The sequence below is a fragment of the Homo sapiens genome, chromosome 13 (genome assembly GCF_000001405.40).
Source record: "Homo sapiens chromosome 13, GRCh38.p14 Primary Assembly".
Taxonomy (NCBI): Eukaryota; Metazoa; Chordata; class Mammalia; order Primates; family Hominidae; genus Homo; species Homo sapiens.
Window position 1 is genome coordinate 72942628 of NC_000013.11, and position 19980 is coordinate 72962607.

General features: G+C 40.1%; 1 protein-coding gene across 11 annotated transcripts in view, besides 1 other annotated feature; it reads left to right on the forward strand.

Moving 5' to 3' along the window:
• Nucleotides 1-19980, forward strand: part of PIBF1 (progesterone immunomodulatory binding factor 1) — a 234329-nt gene that overhangs the window by 160495 nt on the left and 53854 nt on the right. The window lies entirely within an intron of this gene.
• Nucleotides 17857-18358: an enhancer, noted in NCBI's record as "NANOG hESC enhancer chr13:73534622-73535123 (GRCh37/hg19 assembly coordinates)". NCBI's record gives its function as "activates a minimal SCP1, AML or CMV promoter by ChIP-STARR-seq in primed H9 embryonic stem cells {active_cell/tissue: H9 hESC(primed)}" and the evidence as "EXISTENCE:reporter gene assay evidence [ECO:0000049][PMID:30033119]".

Genomic DNA, 19980 nt, shown 5'->3' on the forward strand with positions numbered 1-19980 from the left:
TCATAGAAGAGATTAAAAACAGTATGATTTATAGGGTTCCTTTGCCTTTCAAAATGTTTGTCTGTTTGTTGATATTAAAAATCCTTTAGTAGGCTGGGCACAGTGGGTCACACCTGTAATCCCAGCACTTTGGGAGGTCAAGGCAGGCAGATAACTTGAGGCCAGGAGTTCGAGACCTGCCTGACCAACATGATGAAACCCTGTCTCTACTAAAAATACAAAAATCATCCGGGTGTGGTGGTGTGCACATATAGTCCCAGCTACTTGGGAGTCTGAGGCAAGAGAATTGCTTGAGCCTGGGAGGCAGAGGTTGCAGTGAGCCAAGATTGTGTCACTGCACTCCAGCCCAGGTGACAGAGCAAGACTCTGTCTCAAAAAAAGAAAAATATCGTTTAGTAAAGAACAGTGGCATTTATTTCATTACTAGAAATACAAGGCTTAAAAAATAACACTTAGATGAGATACTACATTGCCTGAATTTTTTTTTAATTTAGCAAGTGAACTTTAATTCATCAGCCTATCAAAAGTCTTTACCTTACTAGAATAATAGTAGAATAATAGTCACCAGAACCTGGGAAGGTGAAGATGGGGAATGAAGAGAGGGTGGTTAATGGATGCAAACATAAAGTTAGATAGAAGGAATGAGTTGTAGTGTTTAATTGCACAATAGGATGACTGTAGTTTACAATAATTTATTGTATATTTCAAAATAGCTAGAAGATTTGAAATGTTCCTAATACAAAGAAATGACAAATGTTTAAGGTTATTGATGTCCTAAATATCCCTATTTGATTTTCACATATGCATGTATCAAAATATCACATATACCCTATGCATATAATTATGTATCAATTTAAAAATTAATAATTTTTTAAAAGTTCCCTATCCAAAACTGTCCTCTGTGCTGTCAATCATGACTTATTTTTAAAGGCCCATGGCCTACAAGACAATGTCCAGATTCTTTAGCGTGGCATAGATGGCCAATTTGATTCTAATCTACTTCTCATCCTCATCTTCTGTCATCTCCCCTCTTCCCAAATCTTCACTTGCTGTCTCCTCCCACCACTTTGTTACCTTCGTACTCCTCAGTCTCCTTTGTTGACTTCTTTTTCTCTGATTATGTCTTAAGTGTTGACATGCCCCAGGGTTCTACCTTGTTTGTTTAGGGGAAAAGGGGAAAAAGCCAAGAACTTTCAAGTTAGGCAGACTGGTTATATGACTTTAGGCAAGTTATCTTTTTGTAAGCCTCAGTTTTCCAAAGTGTAAGTGGAAATAATAATACTATATTGCATGTTTGCTCCAAAATGAGAGAGGGTTCAATCTAAGATGAGCACTTAGCACACTAACTGGCATATGTTAATCACTCGGTAAATGTAGGATCTTATTTCTGTTCTAGAGTTTCATTTATTTTTCTCTTGCTGGCCATAATATTAATAAAATAAGTATTTTTCTTGTAAATCTGGCAATTTTTAAAGGAAATAATAGGTCCAGAATTGGAGTAAATAATGATTTTGCCTATATAGGAGTATTCAGAATAAGCCGGGTGTGGTGGCTAATGCCTGTAATCCCAGCACTTTGGGAGGCTGAGGCGGGGTGATCACCTGAGGTCAGGAGTTGAAGACCAGCCTGGCCAACATGGTGAAACCCTGTCTCTACTGAAAATACAAAAATTAGCTGGGCGTGGTTGTGGGCACCTGTAATCCCAGCTACTTGGGAGACTGAGGCATGAGAATCGGTTGAACCCAGGAGGCAGAGGTTGTAGTGAGCTGAGATTGCACCACCGCAGGACTCTAGCCTAGGTGACAGAGCAAGACTGTCTAAAAAAAAAAAAAGAAGAAAAAGAAGTATTCAGAATAAACAATAAAATCAATTTTAACACAATAGCAAAATGTTTAATAATAATTTAAATAATTTCTGCTCTTATCAAATGCAGAAGTGTATTTAATTGCATACAAACTAAGCATTTTAGGAGAAAAGTGAAAAGCTGCATTTTTGTTTTATTTTTTTTAATTAAGACAAGTATTCATTGATGAATAGTGTTTATATGATCAAAACATAAACAGTGAATGTTCTTGTTTTTTAATTTCAACTTTTATTTTAGATTCAGGGGTACATGGGCAGGTTTATTATCTGGGTTTTTTGTTGGTTGGTTTTTTTGAGATGGAGTCTTACTCTCTTGCCCAGGCTGGAGTGCAGTGGCATAATCTCGGTTCACTGCAACCTCTGCCTCCCTGGTTCAAGCGATTCTCCTGCCTCAGCCTCCTGAGTAGCTGGAATTACAGGCTCCTGCTACAGTGCCCGGCTGATTTTTGTATTTCTCTGGGTATATTATGTGATGGTAAGGTTTGGAGTTTAATTGCTACTGTCACCCAGGTAGTGAGCATCATACCCAATAGTTTTTCAACCCTTGGCCCCCTCTCCCTCTCCCCATTGCTAGTTCCCAGAGTCTGTTGTTCCCATCTTTATGTCCATATGTATGCAATGTTTAGTTCCCACTTATAAGTAAAAATATGGAGTATTTGGCTTTCTGTTTGTGCATTAAATCACTTAGGGTAGTGGCCTCCAGCTGCATCTGTGTTGCTGCAAGGACACAATTTCATTCTTTTTTATTGCTGCATAGTATCCCATGGTGTATATGTATGATAATTTCTTTATCCAATCCATTGTTATGGGCACGTAGGTTGATTCCATGTCTTCATTATTGTAAATGGTGCTGTGATGGGCATGTGAGTGCATGTGTTTGGTAGATGATTTATGTTCCTTTGGGTTTATACCCAGTAATGAGATTGCTAGGTTGAATGATAGCTGTGTTTCAAGTTCTTTGAGAAATCTCCAAACTGCTTTCCACAATGGCTGAACTGACTTACATTCCTACCAACAATATACAAGCATTCCCTTTTCTCCTCAGCCTCACCAGTTTTGACTTTTTAATAAAAGCTATTCTGATTGGTATGAGATGGTACCTCATTGTAGTTTTGATATGCATTTTTCTGGTGATTAGTGATGATCATTTTTTGAAAAACTGTTTTTTAAAACAAAGAAAAGCTTCAAATTAACCAGAATTGTTATATTCAAATTAGAGAATATGAATTACTGACAAAATAAATTTGTTGAATCAAAAAGCCAAAGCTAAGCAATAATAATAAGACAAAAATGAATATAAACATTTAAGAGTAATGATATCATAGTCTATTATCAATTTTCAGTAAATATAACAAAAATGATTATACGAATATATATGTATAAATAAGAATAGCTAGTAATTTTGAGAGCCTACTTAATGCCAGTCATAGCACTTTATGAAACCACATAAGTTCTGCTTGGGTTAACTGGACTTTCCAGAACATGAAACCCCTGAGTTGGCCAGTGTGTCCAGACTTCTTGAGGCCTGAAAGAAGCTCTCCAACTGAGTGAGCTTCCATTAGGTTGGCAAGTGTATTAGTCCGTTCTCACACTGCCAATGAAGACATACCTGAGACTGTAATCAATGAAGGAAAGAGGTTTCATTGACTCACAGTTCTGCAGGGCTGAGGAGGCCTCAGGAAACTTACAGTCATGGTGAAAGGGGAAGCAAACACGTCCTTCTTCACATGGTGGCAGCAAGAACTGCCAAGCAAAGGGGGAAAAGCCCCTTACAAAAACCATCAGACCTTGTGAGAACTCACTCACTATCATGAGAACAGCATGAGGGTAACTGCCCGCATGATTAATTACTTCCCACTGGGTCCCTCCCACAACACATGGGGATTTTAGGAACTACAATTCAGGGTGAGATCTGGATGGGGACACAAAACCTAACCATATCATTCTGCACCTGGACCCTCCCAAATCTCATGTCCTCATATTTCAAAACACAATCATGCCTTTCCAACAGTTCCCCAAAGTCTTAACTCTTTCCAACATTAACCCAAAAGTCCAAGGCCAAAGTCTTATCTGAGACAAGGCAAGTCCCTTCCGCCTATGAGCCTGCAAAATTAAAAGCAAGTTAGTTACTTCCTAGATACAGTGGGGGTACAGGCATTGGGTAAATACACCCATTTCAAGTGGGAGAAACTGGCCAAAATGGAGGGGCTACAGGCCCCATGTTAAGTCCAAAATCCAACAGGACAGTCAAATCTTAAAGCTCCGAAATGACCTCCTTTGACTCCACGTCTCACATCCAGGTCACATTGATGCAAGAGGTGGGCTCCCACGGTCTTGGGCAGCTCTGCCCTTGTGGCTTTGCATGGTTCAGCCCTGCTCCCAGCTGCTTTCATGGGCTGGCAGTGTCTACAACTTTTCAGGCAGACAGTGCAAGGTGTTAGTAGATCTACAGTTCTGGGGTCTGGAAGACGGTGGCCGTCTTCTCACGGCTCCACTAGGCAGTGTCCTAGTGTGGACTTTTTGTGGGTGCTCCAACCCCACATTTCCCTTCCGCACTGCCCTAGCAGAGGTTCTCCATGAGGGCTCTGCCCCTGCAGCAAACTTCTGCCTGAACATCCAGGAGTTTTCATACATCCTCTGAAATCTAGTCAGTGGTTTCCAAACCTCAGTTCTTAACTTCTGTACCCCTACCTGCATGCCCAACACCACGTGGAAGCTGCCAAAGCTTGAGACTTGCACCATCTGAAGCAATGGCCTGAGCTGTACATTGGCCCGAGCTGTACATTGGCCCCTTCTAGTCATGGCTGGAGCTGAAGCAGCTGGGATGCAGGGCACCATGTCCCGAAGCTGCATAGAGCAGGGGGGCCCTGGGCCTGGCCCCAGGAAACCATTTTTCTCTCCTAGGGCTCCAGGCCTGTGATTGGAGGGGCTGCTGTGAAGGTCTCTGACATACCCTGGAGACATTTTCACCATTGTCTTGGCAATTAACATTTTGCTCCTTGTTACATAGGCAAATTTCTGCAAGAGGCTCAAATTTCTCCCCAGAAAATGAGGTTTTCTTTTCTATCATATTGGCAGGCTGCAAATTTTCCAAATTTTATGCTCTACTTCCTCTTGAATGCTTTGCCTCTTAGAAATTTTTCCCCCAGAGTGTAAATTAGTTCAACCATTGTGGAAGATAGTGTGGCGATTCCTCAAGGATCTAGAACCAGAAATACCATTTGACCCAGCAATCCCATCATTGGGTATATACCCAAAGGATTATAAATCATTCTAATATAAAAACACGTGTACGCATATATTTATTGCAGCACTATTCACAATAGCAAAGACTTGGAACCAACCCAAATGCTCATCAATGATAGGCTGGATAAAGAAAATGAGGCACATACACCATGGAATACTATGTAGCCATAAAAAAGTTCATGTCCTTTGCAGGAACATGGATGAAGCTGGAAACCATCATTCTCAGCAAACTAACACAGGAACAGAAAACCAAACACCACGTGTTCTCACTCATAAGTGGGAGTTAAACAATGAGAACACATGGACACAGGGAGGGGAACATCACACACCAGGGCCTGTCTCGGGGTGGGGAGCTAGGGGAGGTATAGCATTAGGAGAAGTACCTAGTGTAGACGAGTTGATGGGTGCAGCAAACCACCATGGCACATGTATACCTGTGTAACAAACCTGCACGTTCTGCACATGTATCCCAAAACTGAAAGTATAATTTAAAAAAAAGAAAAAGAAATTTCTTCCCCCAGATACCCTAAATCATCTCTCTCAAGTTCAAAGTTCCACAGATCTCTAAGGCAGCAGCAAAATGCCACCAGTGTCTTTGCATAGCAAGAGTGACCTTTACTCCAGTTCCCAAGAAGTTCCTCATCTCCATCTGAAACTACCTCAGTCAGCCTGGACCTTTTTGTCCATATGACCATTGGCATTTTGGTCAAAGCTCTAGGAAGTTCAACCAGTCTCTAGGAGGCTCCAAATTTTCACACATTTTCCTGTCTTCTTCTGAGCCCTCCAAATTGTTCTAATCTCTGCCTGTTACTCGGTTCCAAAGTCACTTACACATTTTCAAGTATCTTCACATCAGTGCCCCACTACCCAGTACTGATTTACTGTATTAAGCCATTCTCATGCTGCTAATAAAGACATACCTGAGACTGCTATCTATAAAAGAAAGAGGTTTAATTGATTCACAGATCCACAGAGCTGGGGAGGCCTCAGGAAACTTACAATCATGGTGGAAGGGTAAGCAAACAACATGTCTTTCTTCACATGGCGGCAGCAAGGAGAAGTGCAGAACAAAGGGGGGAAAGCCCCTTATAAAACCATCAGATTTTGTGAGAACTCACTGTCACGAGAACAGCATGAGCGTAACCACGCCCATGATTAATACCTCCCACCAGGTTCTTCTGATGACATGTGGGGATTATGGGAACTACAGTTGAGGATGAACTTTGGATGGGAACACAAAGCCTAACCATATCAACAAGTATATCAAAGAAGAATCAAAGAATTCACAAAAATGATTCAAATACAATCAGTCTACTCTTAGGTTCCTGATGGATGTGTTATTAGCTATATTTAACATATTGAAGAAGAAAAACAGAGAACATACTGAATACTGTAATATATGATATGACCATTCTTGAAATCACATTTTCACTAAGTGATTAAGCTTTTGGAAAACTGGCCACAAAGTTGACCTGAGACTGATTTGGAAGATTGGGGCTGATTTGTATGTAAATATAATCCTTTATAATTAAAAATGTAACTACTACCTAGACAAATAGCTGTCTTTTTTTTTTTTTTTTTTTTTTTTTTTTTTTTTGAGACAGAGTCTCGCTCTGTCAGCCAGGCTAGAGTGCACTGGCACAATCTCGGCTCACTGCAACCTCTGCCTCCTGGGCTCAAGCAATTCTCCTGCCTCATCCTCCCCAGTAGCTGGGATTACAGGTGTGTGCCACCACACCCAGCTAATTTTTTGTATTTTTAGTAGAGACAGGGTTTCACCCTGTTGGCCAGGCTGGTCTTGAACTCCTGACCTCAGGTGATCTGCCCGCCTCGGCCTCCCAAAGTGCTGGGATTACAGGCGTGAGCCACGGCACCCAGCTAACGAATAGCTTTCATACTTTTTTGACCATGACCTGTAGTATGAAGTGTACCTTACATAGCAACCCAGTGCCCAAATATATGTTGTGTATTTGTGTGTGTGTGTATCTGAAACAATATCCTTACTATGTACAGTACATTCTATTAGTTGCTATTCTGTTCTGTTTCTTTTTTTATTATTATTTTTTTAACACTGTTTGCAACCTATGTGTGAAAACACTCATTTGGATAAATGTGTAATATTTTCATCTTATGGAAGCCTTCATGAAAAATCAGTTTTAGAATTGAAAAAGAAAGGTGAAAAAGTAAGAATGATTATAAAGGATACTAGAGAAATATGGAGTCATCGGGTGTGACTGTTGTATAAATATCCAGAATGCTTCCTAGACGTGTTTGTCTACTATGTGTAGGAGCAAGCTAATCCAACCTCTATATCATTTTGAATTAATACTGCGTACTGCTGAAATAATTGTTATGTATCCCCATATTTTTGTCCTGTCCCTTTTCTGCCCCTTTGAGCAATCTTGAACAAATTGGCTGTGGTTTTCTTAGTTGGTTGGAATTAGTATCATTTACAAATTTGAATAATTCTAGTCTGTACTCTATTCCTCCGAATTATTTATAATACAGCTATATGGCTAAGACTCAGAGAACCCCAATACTTTCATTCTTTATCTAGAGAGGTGTTTAGACCACGTCTTCAAAAAAAGGTACCCCTCCAATTCAATAGTGATTTCCTTTGAAAAATCTTATTTTGAACTTTGTTGACTTTTTTGAAGGCCTCCTATTTATGTGTTAACATTTTAATCACTCAGTTACATAGTTCTTGAGGAACTGCAATAAATAGCAAGAATTCCCACTGCAGAAACCGTGTTACTTTTTCTCAAATAAATTTGTTTATTTATGGCTTTTTATACACAGAGCACTTGCCTTAGAATAACTTATAAAAGTAGTGTTACCGTAAACTGTTCTAGCCCGTCATGCCATTTAGCTCATCATAAGAAATAAAGTATGTTTAGTAATAATGTTTGTTAAGTGTTAAGCAGTACTAATATCAAATTCATTCTTTCAACAAATATTTATTGAGTACCTATTATGGGCCAGGCATTTGTTCTAGGTTCTGGGGATGATTAGTGAATAAGACACAGAAATTCCTGCCCTTTGGTGCTCATACTGGAGTTGGGGAGAAACAGAGATTTTTTGTCAAGTGAAATATATACTCATTTAGAACCTAACGGGTTATATGAAGAAAAACAAGCAATGAAGAAGATTGCGGACAGTTCATCCTGCCTGTAGTTCCCAGCCCACTGGGCATGTAGGAGGCTCAAAGTGAGTGCCGTGGTTTTTAAGTTTCTTCTGAAAGTGGCCAATCAGCAAGGAAAAAGGCATCAGACCTATAGATGCTGCATGAATGTAGGTATTCAGGCAAAAAGCAATCAGATATCTCTAGTATGGAAGAATGGTTGTGAAGCATATTTCTTTGTGGATAATTAGTCACATTTATTTATCATTTGTGTGTGTGCCTGTGTACACACACATCAGTGCACACATGCGTGTGCCTTTAATACACCTTATTTATCTTCGGGTCGTAGGGGAGAGGGATTCTTTTGTGTTCACATTCTGGGTTATTTTTAATAATTGCCTTATTTTTTGTTATTGGGAAGCAGTAACAAGTATTGCCTGAACATGATTCTGGAACCAGACTCACTGGATTCAAATCTCAGCTTTGGCAATTACTAGCTATGTAAATTTGGAAAAGTTTTTTAACTTCTTTGGTTTCAGTGTCCTCATTTGTAAAATGTTAAGTTCCAAATAAAGCAACTTTCATTGAAATATTTCCTCAGAAAATGCAGGGGTTTATTTTTTTAAAAACAGATTGTGTCTTATAATATCTAAGGGGTGGAAAAACAGGACAGAAGAGAAAAGGTAACGTTTAAAAATAGGCAAAGACAATCTGAAAGGGCTACGTACGGTATGATTCCAACTATGTAACATGCTGGAAAAGACAAAACTATGGAGTCAGTAAAACAGCAGTTGCCAAAAGTTAGGAAGACTCCACCATGCCTGGCTGGTGTCGTGCATTCTATGGGGTTTAGACAGATGCATAATGACATGTGTCTGTCATTATATTATCACACAGAGTAGTTTCACTGCCCTAAAAATCCCGTGTTCTGCCTCCCAGGCTCAAGCAATTCTCATGCATCAGCCTTCCAAGTAGCTGGGACTACAGGCGTGCACCACCAAACCTGGCTAATTTTAGTATTTTTAGTAGAGACGGGGTTTCACCATATTGGCCAGGCTGGTCTTGTTGGCCATGTTGGCCAGGCCTCAAGTGAGCCGCTTGCCTCGGCCTCCCCAGGTGCATGAGCCACTGCATCCAGCTTTAATTTCTTTTAATTTCTTTCTTTCTTTTCTTTTCTCTTTTTTTTTTTTTTTTTGAGATGGAGTCTTGCTCTGTTGCCTCGTCTGGAGTGCGGTGACACAATCGCGGCTCACTGCAACCTCTGTCTCCTCAGTTCAAGCTGTTCTGCCAGGTTCAAGCGATTATCCCACCTCAGTCTCCCAAATGGCTGGGATTACAGGCACACACCACCATGCCCAGCTAATTTTTGTATTTTTAGTAGAGACAGGGTTTTGCCATGTTGGCCAACCTGGTCTCAAGCTCCTGACCTCAGGTGATCCACCTGCCTTGGCCTCCCAAAGTGCTGAGATTACAGGCGTGAACCACCATGCCCGGCCCAGCTTTAATTTCTTTATGTTGGTTTTCACCTTTCTCTCATATCTCCTTGAGTAACTTATTAGTCAGCCTTTTAAATTATTTGTCTAGTATTTCAAATTATTTATCTAGTATTATCTTGGTTTGGATCCACTGCTGGAGAGCTGTTGTGATCTTTTGGGGGTGTTATATAATCCCGTTTTTTTCATATTGCCAGAATTATTTTTCTGGTTTCTTCTTATTGGGGTAGACTATTTTGTCTACCCCAGTGAGAAGGAACTTATTTATTTCTAATTCAACTGAGTTTTTTTTTTTTTTAGTTTTTTTTTACTCGTTGGGGATGTGACTTTATGGTTTCTTAGCTAGCTTTGACTCAGCATTTTCAGTGTGAAGACTCTGAGTTCCTTAGTTGTAGAGAATCTTTGTGTGATGGCTTTCTCAGATGCTGATGATAGTAGTGATGTGCTGGATTTGTGAGCAGGTTCACTGTCTCCTGTGGGGCTGGAATGGCAGAGGTCTCATGAAGCTTCTCTCATTCCCTAGTGATGTGCCCTTAAGAAAAAAAAAAAAAATCCCCAGTATTTTATTCACATGGTTGAACAGTGCAAGCTTGAGGCCAGTAGGAGGTGCCCATAGGTAAAAACCAGCTTCTACTAAAGCAGGTGGATAAATGCCATACTTAATAGTGAGCAGAGCTCCCAGCCTTGACAGAAGCAGCTGGGGAAGGTGTATGAAATGCACTGAGGTCTTTTCAGGGAGAAGGGAGGGAGCCACCACAGCTCTCCTTCCAGGCCAACAGGAAAGTAATACACCTCCCAGGCACACTCCTGACCTGCTGTTCCAGCTGTTCAAATCAGAAAGGCATCTCTTTTCATCTGCAGGAATACTGATGTTCCATGTAGACTTTCCCCCTATGAGCCCAGCACTGCACCTGTGCCTCTGATGAAAAACAACTTCCCACAAGTGGAAAGTTCAGGGACTCAAGGCCTGCAGACTGGTTTCTTTTGTCCCACACGGTGCCTCCGTAATGTGCGGCACTCCCCCTTTACCTGGAGGGCCAGACTACTGTGAATCCTGCTACTCCTCTGGGTCTAGCTGCTCAGTGGGACTCCCACACTCCAGGATGGTACTGGAGAATATCCGCCAAGGATCCAGTGATGTGACCTGTCCTCTACTCTCCCAGCAGCGGGTACCAGCACCAGTTCTGATGGGGGTAGGAGAGGAGTGACGTAGACTCTGAGATTTCCTTAGTTACAAATAACCTTAGTGTTGGCTTTCTCAGATGCCAGCAGTAGCAGTAATGTACTGGGCACATGGACAGACTCAAGACCTCCTGGTTAGCCGAGGCAATGCAGGCAATGGCAACAGCTGAGGGCATGCAGAAGTTTTCTCCTTCCTGAGTGCTGTGTTATTCTGCCTTCAGGTGTCATAATGGGCTGTGCCTGGCTACCAGCCAGGAGGTGGTGCTTGCAAAAGAGTACCAGGTGCGGTGGTAGTAGTGGAATTTGTGCTTGCCTTATGTTACCCAGGGCAGGCACTCTGGGGTCTCAGGCAATGGGCGGGGCTATGGAGCCTCCAAATATCCCTGTCCATTGTGTTATGCTACCAGGGCTCATAAAGTGGCAAAGCCTGGTGAGGACTGGACCAGGCAAGTCCTCACTCAGGCTCTCCAGGTACAAGCACAAGCAGTGTCCCCAGTGGGGATCAGAGAACAGCTTTCTGGCCACTGGGGTAATGTTCCAGAGGGGAGCAGAGCTGCCTCTGGTGCACAGAAGAATCCACACAGGGAGTGGGAGCAGGAGGGAGTAGTAGAAGGCAGTAAGGCCCACTCAGCTCCCATGCACTTGGCACAGCAAGTCCCATACCCTCAGTATTCTGCTAACAGCAACTAGCTGTGTTCCAGGCAGTCTACACTTAGAACACAAAACTGCCCCAAGCAGTAAGCCTTCCTGCCAGCGATAGAAACCAGGCTTTCAGGCCATGCCCCTCCCTATCCACCTGCGAAGCAGGGGCGCCCAACTTCTGCACTATAGCACACTTCATGCCAGCCCCCTGGTTCTGGCCGACAGGGTTAGTCTCCACTTAAAATCATATTGCGAATCTCAGGAGCTCTTTTCAACCTGTTACTACAGCCTGAGTTACTGAGCAGACTTCTGTGAGGTAGGATCAGGAATGGCTTTCCTCCATCCCCGCTGGAATCTGGTAGTGCGTGCAAAGCACATCCTGATGCCACTCCTTCTCATGTATTCTCCACGCTCACTAAATTGGCTCCCATACTGAGTAGGGTTAAGGCCTTCCCCTGTGGCCTGGGCTGCCCAGCTTTGCTGTGGGAGTGTGTGTTCTGGTGGCTGAGTCTCCCCATCTTATGCTCTGGAGATTCAGAGTTTTCCATCTGGTTCACAGTGTAGGCTGCTGCCACCACTTCTTTTAAAGGATCTGTGGTTTTTTTCAGTTCTTCTGTTAAATTCTTGTGTTGCTTCTTGTGAAAAAAAGTTCACAGTGTGAATCTCTACACATACTTTGTTTTTCCAAGTAGGAGAGGTATGCTAACACTGTCTCCAGTCCACCATCATGTCTTGGTATCCTCCCTACAGTACTCCCAGTATCTGCAGGTCACAGAGCCACAGAGGCTGTGGCAGAGCCACCTGGATCCTCTAGGATTGGAGGAAACAGAGCAATGGAGATAGGACCTGGAGTTGGGAGGGCAGATGCTCAGAAATTATTATTAACTGTTATCACTCTGTTACTTATTTTTGAGGTTGTTCTGATATGGAATTACATATAAAGTAATATTTTAATTATGTTGGACATAACATTTATCTTCCATATGAATGGCTGATTCATTACATGGACAAAACATTTCACTTTCATTGTAGTAGTAGCTCTGTGTCTAACCTTGCCAAGTGCTTAATCCAGGAAGTCTTGGTTATGGTTCATTCTGGGAAAAAATTCAGTTAATATGGATCCAGACAGTATGCTAGTATTTGTTATTTAAATCATGCTTGTATAGGTGCAAACACCAGGTCATATAAATGTGTGTGTTTGTGTGTGTGTGTGTGTGTGTGTGTGTATGTGCACATTACCAAATGCCAACCACCACTGAAGTGGGAAAAACAATGACTTATTTATAAATTATATTCTGTTTATACGTCAAACAAATAAGGTAATTGTTTAAATTTTTTACCTGCCGGTTGTTCCTCGAAAACTCATGAGTGACTATAATTTTTTTCGTTTCAGAGCTATTTGAAAATCACAATGCAAATTCTTTATACACACACATACATACACACACACACACATCCCAATCAGCAATGTTATACAGTTGAACCACATTAAAATTAATTTCTCAAAGGTAGCTTTGAAGGAGAAAGAAGTTGCAAACACTTGAACTCAAATTCTGTTCTCTAACCCTAATCTCCTTTCCTTCCAGCTCTCCTAGTTCTTTCATTCCCACTAAATTTGTACTTTATTTGGACTCATTACAAGTCCCTGTCTCATAAAGCCCTTCCATATTTTTCCAATCTGTCAAGCCCCTCCTCGTTTTACTTTTCTTCCTGCCTATCCTTGGACTTTGTCAGCCATCTGAGTACTAGAATTCACCATCTCTCTAGATTGCTTTGTGGCCAAATTTATACAGCAGGCTTTTCTTGACAATTTCTACCTTTAGCATATTATCTTACAATCTGATAATTAGCCTATAAATATTTAATGGAAGAAAGGCAAGAGAGAGAAAATTCTTAGGTTTTGCAGTAACAATACTGAAAAATTCTTGTGGAAATCTGTGTGACTCGTCCTGCTTGGAAGCATTATGAATTCATGTTATTGAATATCAACTAGGCCCTTAACTACTGTTGCCCAGTGTTTTTATTTTTCTGTCTCCATCCTATTTCCCATTATCTCCATTGCAGATCACTTCTAATCCCAAAGCTATCAATTCTATTATCTGTCTCCTTTTTTCAGTATCTCTCCTTACCCTTTTTCTCCTCTTTAGTACCCCCTTCAAAGTATGTGTGTGTATGTGTGTGTGTGACCAAATGCCAACCACCACTGACACACATACATACATGGGGGAAGTGGTATTGGCATAGGCAACTTTCAAAAGTTAATACCCTATCTTTGTGCTTAATTTATTCTTCTCTCCTCCCATGTCAGCTACACTCTCCTCAGTGGTCATTAATGACCTCTGAATGGCCAGCATTTTCTTCTCAGAGCCTATACAATTTGATCTATCTGTGGCATGGCATTATGGATATTCTAGAAATTCTGTCCTGTTTTGGCATTACAACACAATTCTCCCTGGCTCTCGTCCTGTAACTCTGATGGCTCTTTAGTCTATTTAGCTGATGTCTTCATCTTCTAGCCCTTAAATGTAGGTGTCCCTCGGGTGCCTGCCCTTTTCTCTGTTCTTACACCTCAGGAGAGATTCTAAAACATTAGACGAAGTCTAGAATCAAGCCCAGTGAGTATAAGAATCATCAAAAATTCTAGCTGGAAGAAAAAAACCCCATCAAAAAGTGGGCTAAGGACATGAATAGACAGTTCTCAAAAGAAGATATACAAATGGCAAACAAACATGTAAAAAATGCTCAACATCACTAATTATCAGGGAGATGCAAATCAAAACTGCAAAGTGATACCACCTCACTCCTGCAAGAATGGCGTAATGAAAAAAATTTTTAAAAAATAGATATTGGCATGGATGTGGTGAAAAGGGAAAACTTTTTCACTGCTGGTGAGAATGTAAACTAGTACAACCAATATGGAAAACTGTGTAGCTTCCTTAAAGAACTAAAAGTAGATCTACCATTTGATCCAGCAATCCCACTACTGGGTATCTGCCCAGAGAAAAAGAAGATATTATACGAAAAAGATACTTGCACACTCATATTCATAGCAGCACAATTCACAATTGCAAAAATATGGAACCAGCTCAAATGCCCATCAGTCAATGAGTGGATAAAGAAAATGTGGTATGTATATATACCATGGAATATTACTCAGCCATAAAAAGGAATGAAATAACGGCATTCACACAACCTGGATGGAGTTGGAGACCATTATTCTAAGTGAAGTAACTCAGGAATGGAAAACCAAACATCATACGCTCTCACTTACAAGTCACAGCTAAGCTATGAGAATGCAAAGGCATAAGAATGATACAGTGGACTTTGGGGACTCATGGGGAAGGGTGGGAGCAGGGTGGAGGATACAAGGGTACACATTGGGTACAGTGTACACTGCTCAGGTGATGGGTGCACCGAAATCTCAGAAATCACCACTAAAGATCTTAATCATGTAACCAAATACCACCTGTTCTCCAAAAACTCTTGAAATAAAAAAATAATAATAAAATTCTAAGCCCAGCTACTTGGGAGGCCAGGATGGATCACTGGAGGCCAGTAGTTCAAGAGCAGCCTGGGCAATATAGCAAGACCCTATCTCTAAAAAAAGAAAAAAAAACTACAAAACTTAGCTGAATGCAGTGGCGCACACCTATAGTCCCAACTACTTGGGAGGCTGAAGTGGAAGGAGGATTGCTTGAACCTGGGAGGCAGAGGTTGCAGTGAGCCGTGATTGCGCCACTGCACTCCAGCCTGAGCAACAGAGTGAGATCCTATCTCGGGCAGGGGGGAAAGAAAGAAAGAAAAAAACAATTAGCCAGTTGTTGTGGCATGCACTATAGTTTTAGCCACCTGAGAGACTGAAGTGGGAAAATCTCTTGAGCCGAGGAGTTTGAGGCTGAAATGCCACCACACTTCAGCCTGGGCAACAGAGTAAGACCTTGCCTCTTAAAAAAAAAAAGAATCACGTAAGATTCTTGTTTAAAATGTAAAACAGGCTTCTAGATCCTGCCCTCAGAGGTTGTGATTAAGTAAGTCTAGAATGAAGTCCAGAAATCTGGATTTTTAACAAGCTCTGCAGTGAACTATGATTCCGCCACTGCACTCCAACCTGGATGACAAAGCAAGACCCTATCTCAAAAAAAAAAAAAAAAAAAAAAAAGGAATGCAGGGCCACAATTTGAAGTAGTAATGTTCTATAGTTCTATCTACTTCAATGACTTCAGTCATCACTTCCATGCTGGTTACTCTCAAGTATTTTAACATCCCATTCATGAATTTTCCTTACTTGGACCATACTTTGTGGATCTTAAGACCAAAAGCGGAGCTGATAATCAACTACCATGTCCTTGCTTTAATTATTGACATAATAAAATACTAGCAGAAACACTGGTAAATAGCTCTACACTAAGATCCCACTGTCCGTTCCACCACAGTCTCATCTGTCCTGTGGCCCCTCTCCTGAGACCTGCCTGTAATCCAGCGACAAAGAGGTCATACCTGAGACACAGAGTTTCACCAATATTTTAATTGGTTGAAATGTATCAGTTAAATATTACCGCTGTTAAAGATGATAATGTTAATCACGTGGGAACATGAGAGAAGGAACTGGTATTAGTAGGGAGGATTACAAGTTCAAGACGTAAAATGATTTACGTACTAATTTGGATGGAGTGGCCTACATCAAGTCCAAGATCACTAGGACTGTATTCTTCAAATCTGGCTGATTATCAGAATCTGAGACCCAACCCTGAGAAATTTTGATTCAGTAGGACTGGGGCCCACCAGAATCACTAGTAGGACCCAAAAATCACTTATTTTTTGGTTTGTTTTTCTGGGTTTTTTGAGACAGAGTCTTCCTCTGTCACCCGGGCTGGAGTGCAGTGGCGTGATCTCGGCTCACTGCAACCACCTCCTGGATTCAAGCAGCTCTTGTGCCTCAGCCTCCCAAGAAGCTGGGATTACAGGCATGCGCCACCACACCAGGCTAATTTTTGTATTTTTAGTAGAGACGGGGTTTTGCCATGTTGGCCAGGCTGGTCTCAAATTCCTGACCTCAAGCAATCCACCCACCTTGGCTTCCCAAAGTGCTGGGATTACAGGCATGAGCCACCACGCCCAGCCAGAAATCACTATTTTTTTTTACATTTTCCCCAGCAATTGAGAACATAGAGAAGTTGTACCAAAGTGTTGCCCCCCTATCGGACCTCAAGCAGGCCTTTTTCATTCCTAGCACGATTAAAAAGATTAAGCAAGGATATGTGACTGATTCTGTACAAACTACCACCACTGCTAGAAAGTATCACTTGCATATATTTTATAGACAGAAAGCAACTCAATGTTAAATTCCACTCAGCAGTATTCATTTTATTCCTGGCAATAAAGAACTTCATTTCTAGTTTCTGTGAAAGTAAACTCCCCAAGGAAAAAAACTCCACATGTAGGAAAAACATGCAGCAAAATGTAGTCACCTTTATATTAGTTTATTTGAATTTTAAGAGAAAAATTGTAATTTTAGATTCTCATCTAAGTTAAATTAGTACTTGAATCAAAAGATATAATGATGTTTTAATCAGGGGTTACTTTTCTCTGAATCATATGTACAGGTTATTGAAACAAAGGAAGAATAACACTTCTGTAAAATGTTGTGTCATGGGTTTTATCTAGAGTCACTTATTACGTATATGATTCCTGAGTCACTAATTACTAAGGCTTTCCTATAAGAAAAAGATTACTAACAATAGGCAATGTGAGCAATTGCAAAACTTTTTGAATAGTAATTATTATAGGTACAGAAAGATTTTTGAAAACTCTATTGAAGGAATTAAATTCTAATAAATTATGTTTATTTCAAACATGGAATTAGCATCACTTTTTATTCAGAGATATGTACTTTTTTCCTGACAAATGAAAATCAACTTTGGGGATTTAGAAGCCTACAAACAGGTTTATAAAGAAATGTATCTGTAACACTAACAGCATTATTATAGTATTTATTATCCAGAGTAAGGCGGTTATAGGTTTTATGTTAAAGATACCTTTTGAAAGTAAGGCTTCTGGCCCTTAACTTTGTTTATAATACTAAAACCTTTAGCCGGGCATGGTGGTGCATGCCTGTGGTCCTGGCGACTCAAGAGGCTGAAGTAGGAGGATCACTTGAGTCTGGGAGGTCGAGGCTGCAGTGAGCTGTGGCTCTGCACTCTAGCCTAGGCAACAGAGTGAGATCCTGTCTCAAAAAAATATATGTATATATTAAAACCTAATATATGTAACTACTTTCATGAAAAAATTGAACTAAAATAATTGAGACTGCTGCTGTATATTTTGTGCAACTAAAATAATTGAGACTGCTGCTGTTATGTTTTGTGCAATTGAAATTAGATTTGGTATGTTTTAAACAGCTCATTCTAGACAGAAGTTAACTGAAATTCATAAATGTTCTTAGTTATTCCCTGCCACCCTTTCCCCACACACACACTTGAACTGTTCTGCACTTTGAAACACAAAGCAACTTGTCAGTTCAGTTTATTCAGTCAGGGTCAGTTCTGTGAAAACAAAGCCAAGGCAATTGTTTGATTTAATTGACTAGACAAACTGGTTATACAGGTTAGTAGAACTTAGTTTTATTTTTGTCCAGCTGCATATTTGAATGTTCATAAAGTAACTTAGTAAAATAATAAGATTCCAGTGACATTGTAATATATTTTAAAGAATAATTACCAAAGCAAAGAAAAAAAACATTCTAAAACCCAAACTATAGAAGCTATTCATGGTATTTTTTTCTTTATGGCTCCACTTTCACTATAATGAAATGTGTTCCCCCAAAAAAGTAGCCTTCTTTTCTTTCACTATTCATTTCCTTCTTTTTTTTTTTTTAATTTTTTTTTGAAGATTTTTTTTCCTGGGCTGTAGTTAATATAACTATCAGAAAATTTCCTGTACAATTTAGATGAATAAATGCTTTTACAGAATAGTTCTCTATGTGCAAGCAGACATCCTCTAACAGTTGGTCAGCCCCCTTTTGGCTTCAGTGTCCTCCTTACCCAGCCAACCTCATGGCTGATCATTTTAACAATGTTCTCATTACTATCCTTGATTCTTTCTGCCTCCCACCATGCTTTCCACTATATCCATCCCACTGTTCCCTGCTTCTTCAGCTCCTGGGCTTCTAATCACTCATTATTTTATTAAAATGAGTGGAAAACCAAAAAATTGATATGCTAAAGTATACTCTTAAAGGTCTTAATACTTTAAAAGTATATAGATCTCATGAACATAATTCATTTGAGGAAAAAAATACAAATCATTTCTTGTCCCAGGAAAACAGTAAATCTTTAATGGAACTTTTTAGCAATTATGACAAAAAGAATGGAAAAATGTTTAAACATATATAAAAGGCTAGACGTTTATCGCCAAATAGTATCTAAAGGTCATAGAATAGTTAGGAATTCTGTCATTTTGTTTTGTGTAATAAATACCCCCTTCCTTACCCTTTCACCCTAATAATAGATATCCACCATTTTGTTGTGATTATCCAACTATAGAGTACCTTTTTCAAGAACTCATTATATACCAAAGTAGGAGCTTGCTGACACTGATAATGCTTTATTTAGTTTTGTAGTGACATACAATTACCATTTGCTTAGGAAAAAAAATAAAGAACAAAAACAAGTAAATTTTTTAAAACTATGGTTGTGTATATATAAGTTGATAAAAATCCTTTGGGAGAAAACTTTTGTCTTGTGTGTTAAGAGCATTAAATAGTCATACCCCTTAGCCTAGTGTGTCTTCTATCCTGAAAAAAAATTAACAAAGCAAATACTAACTTAAGAAAAAAAACTACAGCACTGAAAAGATTTGTTGTAATATTGTTTATGCTAACATAAATTATGTAAATTTTTATATATTGTTTATACTGACTTATAATTTATTACTATACATAGTGTAAATTATGATACATTGGCTTTGGTAGGCAGTTTTGTAACCGCTAATAATATAAATACCATACTATTAACAATCTAGAAAAATGATTCTGGTATAGGTTATGTGAAAAGGCACAAAATAAAATTGTATATAGTACACTAGCAATGAACAGTCTGACAAAGGAAATTAAGAAAACAATTCCATGTACAATAGCATCAAAAAGAAAAAAATACAGCCAGGCATGATGGCTCTGGACTTTGAAAGGCCAAGGCCAGAAGAATTGCTTGAGCTCAGGAGTTCAAGCCCATCCTGGGCAGCATAGGGAGACTCTGTCTCTATAAAAAATAAAATAAAATTAGCCGGGCATGGTGGCTCATGCTTGTAGTCCCAGCTACTCAGGAGGCTGAGGTGGGAGGATTACTTGAGCCCAGGAGGTAGGCTGCAGTGAGCCATGATGTTGCCACTGCACTCCAGACTAGGTGACAGAGTGAGTCCCTGTCTCAAAAAAAAAAA